At 42.2% G+C, this 15,633-nt stretch overlaps 1 protein-coding gene, 1 non-coding gene and 1 pseudogene across 8 annotated transcripts in view, besides 1 other annotated feature; 1 reads left to right on the forward strand and 2 right to left on the reverse strand.

Annotated features, from left to right (window-relative positions):
• The window catches only part of OCLN (occludin), a 65,558-nt gene that overhangs the window by 31,489 nt on the left and 18,436 nt on the right, over positions 1–15,633 (forward strand). For all 7 annotated transcript variants that reach the window (NM_001438604.1, NM_002538.4, NM_001410743.1 and 4 more), the window contains one exon: positions 10,659–10,804. In NM_001438604.1, coding sequence (NP_001425533.1) covers positions 10,659–10,804 — 146 coding nt within the window. The remainder of the gene's footprint in view (positions 1–10,658; positions 10,805–15,633) is intronic.
• RNU6-724P (RNA, U6 small nuclear 724, pseudogene) lies at positions 6,578–6,682 on the reverse strand (annotated as a pseudogene).
• Positions 13,679–14,178: an enhancer, noted in NCBI's record as "H3K4me1 hESC enhancer chr5:68833541-68834040 (GRCh37/hg19 assembly coordinates)". NCBI's record gives its function as "activates a minimal SCP1, AML or CMV promoter by ChIP-STARR-seq in naive H9 embryonic stem cells {active_cell/tissue: H9 hESC(naive)}" and the evidence as "EXISTENCE:reporter gene assay evidence [ECO:0000049][PMID:30033119]".
• SNORD13B-1 (small nucleolar RNA, C/D box 13B-1) lies at positions 15,126–15,229 on the reverse strand. Its single transcript, NR_145987.1, has one exon. It is a non-coding gene; the product is annotated as a small nucleolar RNA, C/D box 13B-1 (small nucleolar RNA).

Below are 15,633 nucleotides of genomic sequence, written 5' to 3' on the forward strand. Positions count from 1 at the left end.
CTACTCTGGAGGCTGAGGTGGGAAATCACCTGAACCTGGGAGGTGGAGGTTGCAGTGAGCCGAGATGTGCCACTGCACTTCAGGCTGGGTGACAAAGTGAGACTCTGTCTCTAAAAACAAAAACTGGACTTCAGGTGCACAGAAATAGATTAATTCAATTCTTAGTTTATGACATTATCACCTTTAGTCCATGCATAGCATTCCTGGTACATTTATTGTTTCATAATGAACACCTGCAGATCTACCATCCCACCTAATAATTACAATACATTACTAAGTTACATTATACATTTTTTACTCTCTCATCTACTTGCTTCTACCTGCCCCCAGAGGTAGCCTATCTAGAATTTTGAGTTTATTATAATTTGCTTTTTAAGTTTTTACCTGCATACATGTATAACTTAGCAACATGATTTTGTTTTGGGTGTTTTTTAACTTTGTAGAAGGTGTACCTGCATGTAGTGTCTTGGCATTTGCCTTTTTACGCAGAGTTAGGTTATAGATTAATACATGTTGATGGAGTTGAAGTCCATCTGATGTCGCCATTGTCTGGTCCTCTATTTTATCACATTTCACAGCAGTTTATCCAGTTTCCTTTTAATGGGGTTTTGGATTATTAAGACCATTACAACTGCCATGAACATTTTTATTTTTTATTTATTTATTTTTAAGATAGTGTCTTGCTCTGTTGCCTGGGCTGGAATGTAGTGGCATGATCTTGGCTCACTGTAACCTCCGCCTCCCGGGTTCAAGCAATTTTCCCACTTCAGCCTCCCAAGTAGCTGGGATTATAGGCGTATGCCACCACACCTGGCTAATTTTTGTATTTTTAGTAGAGACAGGGTTTTGCCATGTTGGCCAGGCTGGTCTCAAACTCCTGACCTCAAGTGATCCACCTGCCTTGGCCTCCCAAAGTTCTGGGATTACAGGTGTGAGTGTAATCCCGTGAATCCCGCCTGGCCCCATGAACATTTTTAAATCACCTATACTTGTGAACATTTCTCTTGGCTATGTACCTAAGAGTGGAACTTCTGGGATGCAGCGTTTGTGAGTGTACATTTCTTTCTTTTCTTTTCTTTTTTTTTTTGAGACAGGGTCTCGCTCTGTCACCCAGGCTGGAGTGCAGTGGTGCGATCTCGGCTCACTGCGAGCTCCACCTCCCGGGTTGACGCCATTCTCCTGCCTCAGCCTCCTGAGTAGCTGGGACTACAGGTGCCCGCCACCACACCCAGCTAATTTTTTGTATTTTTAGTCTAGACGGGGTTTCGCCATGTTAGCCAGGATGGTCTCGATCTCCTGACCTCATGATCCGCCCGCCTCAGCCTCCCAAAGTGCTGGGATTACAGGCGTGAGCCACCGTGCCTGGCCTGTGAGTGTACATTTCTATAAGACAATGTCAAATTATTTTTCATATATAATCTAAACCAGCAACTCTTGGTGGTGTTAGACTTTATAATATTTTCCAGTCAAACGTGTAAAAGTGTATCAGTGTTGTCTTGGTTTATATTTCTTCTGAACATGTCATGTTTATTGGCCTAATGTGTTTTCTCTTCTACTTTTTACCTTTTGGCAATTGCTGAGGTGGCAAAACTCAACCAGTTTCTCTGATACTCTTGATTTTTATAAGAGTTTTTATGGGGTAAAGGTCAACTTTTTATGAGGCATAGTCCTGAGGAAGTATAGTCTATTGCGTGATCATTAGTGTCCTTTTCACAAATGACTAACCCTTTATAGATATGACAAGCCAAAGTGCCTTCTCTCCTTTAGGGAAAGATGTGTTCCTTCCCTTTTCCATTGTGTTGATGGTATGATAGAGGTCCTTCTCAGGGCTGAGAATCAACTAATGTTTCCACTGTGATAAAAGTAGGTACCCTCAGCTGTTCTCATGCCGAGTGAACCTTCTCACCGTTTTTCTAGGTTATTTTATGACACCTGGACCAGAAAACCAGGCACTGTCAGGTTTGAGCATCACTGTAGGCAAAAGAGACCCTTAACTTGTAGGTCTTTACGAGGTACAGTGGTCTGCAACATAGAAGAGAATTGTGTCTACGTCAGTAGTTCTCAAACTTTTGCAGGCAACAGAATCACCTGGAGGGCTCATTGAAACAGCCCACTCACTCCCACCCTGGAGTTTATGATGTGTGCGCTAGGCCTGGCTGGGGCCTAGGTCGGTAATATTAATGTAGCTGGTCTGGAGACCATATTTCGAGAACCACTATTTTATAGATTCAAGCTGCAACCATTAAACTGTAAGCAAGTTATCATTACATCATGGCATACTTGGAAAATGGTGACTTAGTACAAAATACTGGAGTAAACTGAGGGGGATCTGGAACTGCAGATGATTGGCTCACAGGCTGGGCGACCAAAGACATCCTGGCACACCTGTTGAAAAACTCTGGCATGAGGTACAGGTATATTTAACAGTCTTCACAGGGATTTTTGTTTAAGTAAGGGGCCTTGAATGAGATCATTGGTAAGCCTCACTGAGTACAAGGTTTTTCTACCTCATCCCCTTCCAGAGCTCTAATAACTTATTGACTCTCAGGGAATTTCAGAATTTACCTTTGGTGGTGTCAACCTAAAGATTGACACAATTATAAATTTAGAAAGGATCTCCAGCTGTGAAAGAAAAAAGTAGAAAGGAGACTATTTATTATAAAGGGTTACAACCTGTAAGGTGGCCATCCTTGACAGTCTTGGAAGCGTAGCTTCTGGCAGACACTGAAAGGCACTTAGAAGGAGATGGAGTTGGGACAAGAGCTTAATGCTGAACAGGTTGGCCATACATTCCTATTCAACAGGTTATAGGAGGAGCTATGAATATCCGTGAATGGGGTCCTGATGCATGCGTAATGAACAAACATTCGTGTTACATACATCCCATGTTCACTTTGGGGTGGAGACTTAACATTTAAATGTATTACAATTAGGCCCTGTACATCAAAAGGTGAAGCAGGGGCCAGGCGCGGTGGCTCACACCTGTAATCCTAGCACTTTGGGAGGCCGAGGCGGGCGGATCACCTGAGGTCAGGAGTTCGAGACAAGCTGGCCAACATGGTGAAACTCCTTCTCTTCTAAAAATATAAAAATTAGCTGGGTGTGGTGGTGGGCGCCTGCAATCCCAGCTACTCAGGAGGCTGAGGCAGGGGAATTGCTTGAACCCAGGAGACGGTGGTTGCAGTGAGCCGACACAGTGCCACTGCACTCCAGCCTGGGTAACAGAGTGAGACTTCGTCTCAAAAAAAAAAAAAAGGTGAAGCAGGAACACAAGGCACTCACGTGCAGCCTCTGCAAGCTGGCCAGAACCATTCCACGGCTGCTAGTCTCTGATCAGGAGAAAGTTACTGAAATCAGTTTCTTGTCCAGTCAAAGCTGTATGGCTTGTGGAACAGGGGTCAGTCAGTATCTGTTGGTGGATGAGCTGCAGTTGTTTTCTTTTTGTATTTTTTTGTAAGTTTTTATTTTTAATTTTTGTGGGTACATAGTAGGCTTACGCAATTGCTTTAATCTTGCTTATCTTGAGGCCAGTGCTTGTTTGGCTGCTGGAGAAAAAGAGCAACCTTATGGTGGTTAGAACATAGTGTATGGTTAGGACAAATGTAGGGGTGTGGGATTTAACCCTTGTCTGGCATGGCCTTAGGTCTTATTTATAATTTGGTGTTTTATTGCCACAAAGAGTCTATTTCTATCAGTCTTGATGATCTCTATGTTAACATGAATGCTGGTCAGCTGTGTCTGAACCGCAGAAGGGAGGGAGTAAATGAGTTGTGTCTGACCTCCCATTCTGTCATGGCCAGGAACTCAGTTAAGATTTCTCTGGGGCACTCTTGGCCAAAAGGGGGTCTTCTCGGTTGGGGGCTTAGGATTTTATTTATAGTTCTCATTGGTCTATATTATTACTGTTTCTTTGGACAGCGTGCAGTTGGGTAGGGGCAATTTGTTTTCTAAATCCTAAATGCCATCTGAGCAAGGTAAAATAACCAGACATGTTCAAACCTGGTCCACGATCTCATTATTTGTGGGATTAGTAGATGTGGGACCGTCTGCCTTCAAGTGACCAAAGGTGGAGAAAAGTCTAAGAGAACTTTCCAGTCGATTTTGAAGCTTTTATTTGGGGGAGTATCTGAGGGTGTAAAATATCAAAAAACAGGAAAAACGAGTTAGACCACTTACTGTTGAGAACCTGTAGTACAAGGGCATAGGGCTGAGGAGGGTGGAATGGGCAGGTTGTAAACCTGGAGATGATCCTTAAGATTAAGATGCTCCTCCCTCTGATGCCTGAGGTATATCTCCACTTTAATCACCAAGCTGGGAAAATCCTACTCTTTCCTTTTTGAGAGAGGTGTTCCTAAACGCTGACCTAAACAAAGGCATGAAACATACTCATAATAATTTTGCATCAATAGCTGCTCTTACAAAGTTAAACTAATAGGCAAATAAAGCTTTTCAAAATGGGGAGGAGTTTAAGACAATGAGAATGGTCTCCTTTGTTACAAAGACCAGTCAAAATACCCATCCAAGATGGGTACTTCAAGCCATGTTTGAATTCTTGAGGTGGCAGTTTTTTATGCCAGAAAGAGCTGAGCTTTGGAGCTAGATGGACCAGGGTTCAAATCTCCCCTCTGCTACTTTACCTTCTCTGTGACTTTGAGCAAGTTAATTTAACTGTAGAAACTCAATTTCCTCATCTGAAAATAGAGATAATTGTATCTCCTTGGGTGGCGGTGAGAATAAACGAAGTCGGGTTTGCCTGGCACATGCTGAATACTCAACAGGTGAACTTCCCTTTCCTTCTTAGAGGTAGATGGCTTTTGCACATTGCTAGACCACATGGGTGCAGGTCTAGCCTGACTCTCTCCCATGTGTGAACTAGGGATGAAATTAGGGCGAGGAGAAAAATGAGGATTAGCTATAATTGCATATAATTTGCATATATTTTGCTTTTACTAACTCCAAATGAAATATGAAATTGATCTAAGTGGGGATAAGTGTTTTCCCCGATCTTTGTTTTGGAGGAGAGAAGATTTTCTTTCAAAGTGACCTAGAACATTCCTTCTTGACCTTTTTATTCCTTCTCTGACTTCAGGGAGTCAGGGTGGGGAAGGTGGGACCAACATGATGGTGTAGACCCATCTTACTCTCAGGTGAGGAAGAATCACGGTAGGTATTTGGAGAAGAGCACCTGAGCTGCTCTAAAGGAGAGCTGCCCTGTTTGTTTTCCTGTTGGCATCCCACAGGGGTTTAGGATGTTTTCATTAACTCTCCAAGGAGTGTTAGATGTTGTTTGTCACAAAGAATTTTTTCACAAGTGACATAATCAGAACACTTCTAATGAGTACAATTAAGCTTTGAATAAAAATTTATCCTCATAATTACCTCTTGTGAAGATCTTTTAAAATAATATTTCATTTTGCTATTTCGGAAATAAATTCTTTCTTGATTGGAATAAGAATCTTAATAAAATTTCCCTGCATATTCCCTAAATTAATAATTCATACTCCTTAAGCATGTTCAGTGTGAGTGCTTGTCCTTTTTGAATGTAATTTCAAGAGTAAGTCTGAGTTACTTTGTTGTTTTTTTCTTTTTTTTGAGATGGAATCTGTCACCCAGGCTGGAGTACAGTGGTGCAATCTCGGCACACTGCAACCTCCATCTCCCGGGTTCAAGTGATTCTTCTGCCTCAGCCACCAAGTAGCTGGGATTACGGGCGTGCGTCACCATGCCTGGCTAATTTTTGTATTTTTAGTAGAGATGGGGTTTCACCTTGTTTGCCAGGCTGGTCTCGAACTCCCGACTTCAGGTGATCCCTCCTGCCTCAGCCTCCCAAAGTGCTGGGATTACAGGCATGAGCTACCGCACCTGGCCTAGAGAAATCTTTGATTTGTGTTTTCATCCTGCTTTCTTCTGTCCTTAATTTCTTAGAGATATCCTCAAGTTACTTAAGGGAAAATTGTTACAAAGACACTTTGCTGTTTAGAATTATGCCTAGCTGGTTTTCTCAAGTACTCATTCTTTAAAAGTGAGATGTAGTGGTGTGACCCTGTAGTCCCAGCTACTCGGGAGGCTAGGGTAGGAGGATTGCATGAGTCCAGGAGTTCAAGTCCAGCTTGGGCAACATAGCAAGGCCTCATCTCTTAAGAAAAAAAAATCTTACTGTGAAAATTAAAATATTTTTCTTTTCCTTTTTAAGAGAACTTTAACTACATCATTGAGTTTTATGAGCTGACTGGGGCATTCTGTCAGTAATAACAGTGAAATTCAGAAGTCATTTCTCTCATAATAGGAAATACAGGTTGGGGACTCCTTGTAGAAATGAGCACCTGTTCACTTTGTATTGCCCCCTCCAACCCCCTTCTACTTTCCTACTGTCCTTCAAAAGCCGCAGATACTGGGTTTATACTTACTTGGCATTGGTACCATTAAGTGGGTTAGAGGAAAAAATATTTTAGCCTTTTTTCAGGAAAATTGCAGTGTAAAGAGGAAAAAAAATGATCGTACTCCTTGTTTTTCAAATATATTTTGCCTTTGCCTCTAGACTGTTGGAGTCTGGCATCAGCTGGCTCAGGATTTAAAAAAAAAAATGGAATGTTTCATGAATTTGGGTGCTGTTCTTGCCCAAAGGCCATGCTAATCTTTCCTGTATTGTTCAACTTTATATATGTGCTGCTGAAGGGAGCACTGCCTTGGAATTTATTATGCATGTGTATAGAAAAGGTTTAATCAGAGATCTTTGCTGAAGGGTGGAGTCAGTGGTCAAGCTAGTCCAGTTCTGCTGATGCTAAGAGAGAAAGGTCAGCTCAGTGTGCCTCATTGATAAAATACTTGGGTATACAGTGTAGAAATAGAACAGTTATCAATGAGGTAAACTTTATGCAGCAAACTTGGGGCTCCCGATTTGTGCCAGACACTGTGTGGTCCTTTGGAGACTCGAAGAGGAAAGCAGGAAACTGCCCGCCCTTGCATTTTCTACATCTAGGTTCTTGGGAAAGTTGTCTAACTGCCTGAGCCACAGCTTCCTCATTTCTGGAAAAGGAACGATATTTGCCTGTAAATCCATGCCTACAAAATGATCTGTCACTTCAATATTTGGCTAATTGTAAGCAGTCAGATAGTGGTGGCTTAAGCCCAGTCCGCTGCCTACTGAAGTGAGATAGGTGAGCAAGCCATTGTTCGGCAGTGCATAAGCGATTTGGTGGGAGGTTTGTATGCACAGGTGTAGGGAGATAGCACAGGTTGGTGCCTCATCCAGGAGGGGCTTGTATGAGGAGGAGGTGGTGGCACATGAGCCAAGAATTGAAACCCAATTAAGGAATAGCTGGCAAAAGGGGAAGGGCATTTTAGCCAGTAAGAAATCTCTGAAAAGATACACAGACTCTGCTAAAGCTCACGCTGTGAGGAGGAGGTGGGACCTAGAGAAGTATAAAATGGGTTTTTAAGCAAAGGAAGGATTTTTAAATTCTGATAAGGTATTGGATTAAGAATAGGCTTTGGTTTGGTGAAGCATTTGCCTGTGAAGCTTGGCAACTTCTGTTGTAAACTTTTGTTGTAAGGAATTCTGTGGGAACCAAGAGTGCTTCCCTCCCTTCCCTCCTGTGGTGGGGTCTGAGCACACTCCGTGGCAACCCACCCACTGGTTTCGCAGTTGCTGCCAAATTCCACTTTCAGAGGGAAATGATTCTATTCCTTTCTGTCTCTGAATGTTAAACAATCAAGAATACCCCTATGTACTTTGAGGGGTAGGTAAATATCTTTCTGTATGTGATACTGCCTGGATACGTCAGGAGAGTGCATCTCATGTTTTAATGTAATGCTACTAAGAATGGGAAACTTAAGATGTAAGGAATATGTATTGCAGAAGATACACTGCATTGAAGCTGAACCTAATTGTAAGGCTTTATAATAGCAAAATAATCCAAATAAAGGTCTTCTGCCACCTCCAAATTCTTGTAAAAATTATTTGATCAGATCAAGTGGCCTTAATTCCAAAATCCAGCATCTTTTGAATTTTTACTGTGTTTAAAGGCACTGTAGTAAATGTGATACCTTGTCACCTCATTTAATCATCAAAATAACTTTATGTACTAGGTAGTTTTCTCCTTTTTTTTTTCTTTTTTTCTTTTTCAGATGAAAACTAAGGCTTTATAGAATTTGTGGTTGGCAGACCTGGGGTGAGCCCAGATAATCTGATGCTATTGGTTGTGTTTGTATGTATTTGAGACAGGGTCTCATTCTGACACCCAGGCTGGAGTGCAGTGGCACAATCAGAGCTCACTGCAGCCTCCACCTCTCAGTCTCAAGAGGTCTTCCCATCTCAGCCTCCCGAGTAGCTGGCACTACAAGCACACGTACCAAACCCTAAAATGCCATTGATCCTATCACAAAGCTAGAGCGGTTCTACCCTTTTGAATAGCAGCTCTTTTTCACAGAAATATCTGTAGATTTATTTTGATTTTTTTCCCACACTTTATTTCTATTCCTTTGCCTTAAAACAACTAAATGATTCATCTAGGATTAGCACTTGTTTGAGGTCTTTGGTTTTTTTCCAATTTTTTTTCTCAATTACAGAGTGATATGTAATAATTTAAAGGCTATTAGGTAAAATGTCAAGAGTGTTGGAGCTGTTACATAAAACATAAAATCTAACAGTGGCCGGGCGTGGTGGCTCACGCCTGTAATCCCAGCACTTTGGGAGGCCGAGGTGGGTGGATCATTTAAGGTCAGGAGTTCGAGACCAGCTTGGCCAACATGGTTAGACCCCATCTCTACTAAAAATACAAAAATTAGCCGGGCATGTTGGTGGGTGCCCGTAATCCCAGCTACTCGGGAGGCTGAGGCAGGAGAATCACTTGAACCCAGGAGGCGGAGGTTACAGTGAGCCGAGATCGCACCACTGCACTCCAGCCTGGGTGACAGGGTGAGACTCTGTCTCAAAAAAAATATATATATATATGTATGCATGTATGTGTGTGTGTGTGTGTGTGTGTGTATACACACACACATGTATATATACACATATATACATATATATATACACACACATATATATATATACACACACACACACACACACATATATATATACACACACACACACACATATATATACATACAGTGTTGGGAGTCTAGTTGGCTGTGCTTTTTATGTTTAAATTTTTTATCCCAAAGGTTCTGTGGTAAGCCTTCCATGTTAATATTGACCTAGGGGAAGAAGCTGAGGCAAAATTAATATAGAAAATTTATTTGGGCCAAGGTTGAGAACAGCTGCCTGGGACATGCTTCCAAGCTGCCTTGGGGAGTGCGCCATGCAACCTTTTTTATAAGCAAGTTTTTAAAGGCAAAAACGGGGCACAAGGAGTGGATAGAAACAAAGTTGTTCATCAGGAATTCTCACTGGTTTACAGAAATAACGTTGTTACATCGTCGAGCTATAGCAGGGTTATGGTGCCCAGTGTGTAGCATTGTTAGATTACGCGGTTTCTGGAGATAACTACATAGCTCAAGGGGGAAGTAGGACTTGATTGCTGTTTCATTTTAATGCCTCTCCGGGCCTGATAGCTTTTAAGAAAGGGCTTACATTCCTCAGATAAGAAGAACCTGTATATGTATTTCACATTAAGGCATAATTTCTTTTTTTTTGACACAGTCTCGCTGTTGGCCAGGCTAGAGTGCAATGGCACTATCTCTGCTCACTGCAACCTCCGCCTCTCTGGTTCAAGTGATTCTCTTGCCTCAGCCTCCCGAGTAGCTGGGACTACAGGTGCATGCCACCACGCCCAGCTAATTTTTTTTGTGTGTGTATTTTTAGTAGAAACGGGGTTTCGCTGTGTCAGCCAGGATGGTCTCGATCTCCTGACCTCATGATCCACCCGCCTCAGCCTCCCCAAGTGCTGGGATTACAGGCGTGAGCCACCGCGCCCGGCCTATTAAGGCATAATTTCTAATGCATGTTACTTTTGTAGGATGAATTCACTTACACATCAGAATGAAATAAGGAAAGTGAAAAGGGAAGGCACTGATGTTGTGTGATATATTGTGTAGGTTATTAGTAATAGAGCCATAGAGAACGTACATTAAGGGAGAATAAACAAATCTCTTATTAAAAGAGTAGAAGTCAGCTTGAACTTCTTAATTTCTTCTGTGGTTTTAACATTCCACGTTGAGAGGTGAATGGATTAAGAACTACCAGTGTGCTTTGTTCTAGATTAGTGCTTTTCCAAGTGTGGTGCACAGACAGCAACATAGCATTACCTGAGAGCTTGTTAGAAATGAAAATTCTCCTAACCGAGACCTGGCTTAGGTTAAATGAGAGTGGTCTTTCTAATGTGGGCGTGAGATAATGAGACCAGTCTTCCTAATATGGAGGTGGAAAATTGCCATAGATAATTATGAAACCTAATCACATTAGGATGAGAACTAGGTGATCAGATTTTTCTTCTTGGTAATATACTTGTTTAAACTAGCAGTAGCACTGTTTATATGTCTATTACAATGTGGATTTAACTATTAACCTGTAATGATTGCCTTTTTATTATTAGTGTTAATAGTATTTAATGGGCCACATAAATATTAGATAATGTATATAAGATAATTTTCTTCAGTGTCTTCCCCCTTTTCATTACAAGATAAATAATAACTATCTCTTGGGGTTTTTTAAGGTTAAAAATGTGTCTGCAGGCACACAGGACGTGCCTTCACCCCCATCTGACTATGTGGAAAGAGTTGACAGTCCCATGGCATACTCTTCCAATGGCAAAGTGAATGACAAGCGGTTTTATCCAGAGTCTTCCTATAAATCCACGCCGTAAGTAGCATCTCTCTTAGTTTGATAGACTGAGTGTAAAAATGAGTATTTGCATATAATTGGTTTTTGTGCCTTTCTGCTTAAAAAAAATATCCAGCAGTGCACACAAAAGCTGGATCTGGATCTTGGTATTACAACAATCTTTGCTTTGTTGGTACAGAGGCCTACGGCTACTTGGAAGACCAGGATGAGGAGGGTGGGGTTCTATTTCCCTTCTAAGTTGAAAATGCTTCTTTTCACTTACTTGTTTAATTGAAAGGTTGGGTTGGGTTCTTTCACTCTAGGAATGTGGTTCTGCTATTTCTGGTTTTGAAGTTTAGGTGAGGGTGAGAGGAAGTTACTGAGCAGAGGTCAGTGCTGTGCTCAGCCTCTCCTTTTGCCTATAATTGTTGGATCTCATAAACAGAAGGGAGGACATTTCACATTAATCAACCCTGCCCACATACATTTCTGTTAAACTAGAAGACTTCATTTGAATCCAGGAATTGTGGTATTTCATTTGCTGTGCTAGGTCCTCAGTATTGCTGGGAGATGTGAAACCTCAGTGAACGTCTGGCCTAGGGTAGGTGTCATATGATAATTGAAATGGTATCTCTGTGGTGGAAACACTTACCCTAAAGCTCAATTCTAATTCCACCTAATGACTAGTGAGAGAAGACTATTGGAGATAATTGGTATGGACGGGGATGTAATTTTTGCCTAAGGATGATGAAGTCGTTATTTTTACATATATAGTCATGCATTGTTTAACGATGGGAATACTGAGAAGTGTGTCTTTAGGCAATTTCATCCTTGAGTGAACATCACAGTGTACTTAACACAAACCTAGATGGATAGCCTGCTACGAGCCTAGGCTATGTGGTATAGCTTCTTGCTTTTACGCTACAAATGCAGACAGCATGTTAATATACCAAATACTCTAGGCAGCGGTAATACAGTGGTATTTGTATATCTAAACACAAAAAAGGTACAGTAAATATAAAAGATAAAAAATGGTACATCTTGGCGGGGGCGGTGGCTCACGCCTATAATCCCAGCACTTTGGGAGGCCGAGGCAGGTGGATCACCTGAGGTCAGGAGTTCAAGACCGGCCTGACCAACATGGAGAAACCCCATCTCTACTAAAAATAGCCAGGCGTGGTGGCGCATGCCTGTAATCCCAGCTACTTGGGAAGGCTGAGGCAGGAGAGTCGGTTTAACCCGGGAGGCGGAGGTTGTTGTAAGTGGAGATTGTGCCATTGCACTCCAGCCTGGGCAACAAGAGCGAAGCTCCATCTAAATAAATAAATAAATAAATAAATAAATGGTACATCTTGTAAGGCACTTACCATGAATGAAGCTTGTAGGACTGGAAGTTGCTCTGGGTGAGTCAGGGAGTAAGTGGTGAGTGAATGTGAAGGCCTAGGACATTACTGTACACTTTATAAACACTATACTTAGGCTACACTAAATTTACTAAACATTTTTCTTTCTTCTATAATAAATCTTAGCTTTCTATAACTTTAATTTTTTTGACTCTTTTGTAATAACACTTAAAACACAATCACATGGCTGGGTGCAGTGGCTCACGCCTGTAATCCCCACACTTTGGGAGGCCCAGGTGGACGGATCACCTGAGGTCAGGAGTTCGAGACCAGCCTGGCCAAAATGGCAAAACCCTGTCTCTACTAAAAATACAAAAATTAGCCAGGCATGGTGGCTCACACCTGTAATCTCAGCTACTCGGAAAGCTGAGGCAGGAGAATCACTTGAACCTGGGAGGCGGCGGTTACAGTGAGCTGAGATCACACCAGTGCACTCCAGCCTGCGTGACAAAGTGAAACTCTGTCTCAAAAAAAAAAACAAAAGGCCGGACGCGGTGGCTCACCCCTGTAATCCCAGCACTTTGGGAGGCTGAGGCAGGTGGATCACGAGGTCAGGAAATTGAGACCATCCTGGCTAACAGGGTGAAACCCCGTGTCTACTAAAAGTACGAAAAATTAGCCGGGCATGGTGGCGGGTGCCTGTAGTCCCAGCTACTCGGGAGGCTGAGGCAGGAGAATGGCGTGAACCCGGGAGGTGGAGCTCCCAGTGAGCCGAGATCGCGCCACTGCACTCTAGCCTGGGCGACAAAGTGAGACTCCGTCTCAAAAACAAACAAACAAAAGAACAACAACAAAAAACACAATCACAAACCCTGGCACAGTGGTGCACACCAGCAGTCCCAGCTAATTGGGAGGCTGAGGTGGGAGGGATCATACTTGAGCCCGGGAGCTCAAATCCAGCCAAAAATAAAAGAAAAGCCAAAAATCCCATACCTACATTGTATAGATATATAGATATAGAGAAGTATTTTCCTTATTCTATAAGCTTTTTTTTTTTTTTTTTTTTTTGGTAGAGACATGGTCTCAATCTGTCACCCAGCCTGGGGTGCAGTGGTGTGGTCACAGCTCACTGTAGCCTTGACCTCCCAGGCTCAAGCGATCTTCCCACTTTAGTCACCTAAGTAGCTGAGACTACTTAGTCACCTCAGTAGCTGGGACTACACATGTGCTCCACCATGCCCAGCTATTTTTTTCTATTTTTTTTTGTAGAGACAGGGTCTTGCTATGTTGTCCAGGCTGGTCTCAAACTCCTGGGCTCAAGCGATCTGCCTGCCTCGGCTTCACAAAGTACTGGGATTACAGGCATGAGCCACCATGCCCTGCCACCAGGCTGTTCTTAGACTCCTGACCTCAAGTGATCCTCCCACTTTGGCCTCCCAAAGTGCTGTTTTCTATTTTTACCATGTAAATTTTATTTTAGTTTCTACACTTTATTGTTAAAAACTAAGATACAGACTGGGTGCAGTGGCTTATGCCTGTAATCCCACCACTTTGGGAGGCTGCAGTGAGCTGCGATTGCACCACTGCCCTCCAGCCTGGGCAACAGAGACCCTATCTCAAAAAAAATAAAAATAAACACACACACACACACACACAAACCCAAAACTAAGATACAAACATACACATTTGCCTAGGCCTACATCAATATCACTGTCTTCCATTTCCACATCTCGTTGCACTGGAAGGTCATCAGGGCCAATAACACACCCAGAGCTGTCATCTTCCATGGTGACAGTGCCTTCTTCTGGAATACCTCCTGAAGCACCTGCCTGAGGCTCTTTTAACTTTTTTTTCCTGTTTCAACTCTTTTTTTTTTTTAATAAGTTGAAGGAATCTAATAAAAAATATAGTGTAAATACATAAACCAGTAGCATAGTCGTTTATTGTCAAGTATTATATACTGTACATAATTGCATTTGCCGTATACTTTTATTAGTCCCTTATTGACTGAAATGTCTTTATGACTTTGTGACTGTAATTCTAGAACTCTAAGTTCCTTTGGAGACTGAAAAAGCCCAAAAAATTTCCTTTCAGCTAGTTTGAATGTCTATGTTAAAGGTGTATCTACTGGAAATAACTTTTTTGTTACTTCGAAGTGTTTTTTTGTTTGTTTTGTTTTTGAGACGGAGTCTCACTCCGTTACCCAGGCTGGAGTGCAGTAGTGCGATCTCAGTTCACTGCAACCTCCGTCTCCTGGGTTCAAGTGATTCTCCTGCCTCAGCCTCCTCCTAGTAGCTGGGATTACAGGTGCGCGCCACCATGCCTGGCTAATTTTTGTATTTTTAGTAGAGACGGGGTTTCATGATGTTGGCCAGGTTGGTCTCGAACTCCTGACCTCAGGTGATCTACCTGTCTTGGCCTCCCAAAGTGCGGGCATTACAGGCGTGAGCCACCGCGCCTGGCCTGCTTTGAAGTTTTATCCCCAATGCCCGACTCCTGATTAGTGGGCCATGATATATGAGATTTACTCTGAGTGCATAGTTGTTTTGGTATTCAGACTTGATCTTGCTGTTGATTTCAATTGTGAATGATTTGGAGAAAGCACATTTTCTCTGTTCTTCTCTTTGGATTTTGACAAAAACTAAAGCACTTGAGAGTGTTAGGGACAAGGGTACGCAAGAGAGATGCAATCCTTCTAAGTTTTTTTTTTTCATCATTTGTTTGAGATGCTGTTTCACTCTGTCGCCCAGACCTATAGTGCAGTGGTGTTATCATAGCTCACTGTGACCTTGAACTCCTGGGCTCAAGCAGTCCTCTTGCTTCATAGCTCACTTTAGCCAGGACCACAGGTATGTGCCACTATGGCTGGCTAATTTTTTATTTTTATTTTTGTAGAGAAGGGGTCTTGCTTTGTTGCCCAGGATAGTCTTGAACTCCTGGCCTTAAGTGATCCTCCTGCCTCAGCCTCTAAAATTTTTAAGCTATGATTTGCAGAACTTTTTTTTTCTCCTTTTTCATGTCAGATGGGTAATGTGCCAATATTGTAACAAGATTTGAGGGTGGGACATTTCACACATGCGTGTGAACACCCAATCATCATGCTCATCAACTATAAAAGGACCAATTTGCAGAACTTTCATACATACAAAATGTATATCTATACTGCATCTTGGCACCAGCTGTTCCTCTAAATTGTAAGGCCTGCGTGGTTACACAGCATTCCCTGGTGTTGTCCCTTTTCACAAAAACCAGGATAGTTTCACAAATTCATTTGAAATTAATTTGAAAGTCTTATTCCTTAAGTATTAATCTTTCTTATTCTTGAATACTTTATGTAGTGGAAAATTTAAAAGGGACAAAAGGTACCAGCTAGCTAGTTCCTCTCCCCAGAGGCAACTAATGTCATCACTTTCTATTTCTCCACAGATTTTAAAACATAAAGATACTGGCCAAAGTACATTGATTCCCCCACCCCCCCTTAAAATACTAGCATACCAGAGCTGGGCATAGTGGCTCATGCCTGTA

The sequence above is a fragment of the Homo sapiens genome, chromosome 5 (genome assembly GCF_000001405.40).
Source record: "Homo sapiens chromosome 5, GRCh38.p14 Primary Assembly".
In the NCBI taxonomy this organism is placed as follows: domain Eukaryota; kingdom Metazoa; phylum Chordata; class Mammalia; order Primates; family Hominidae; genus Homo; species Homo sapiens.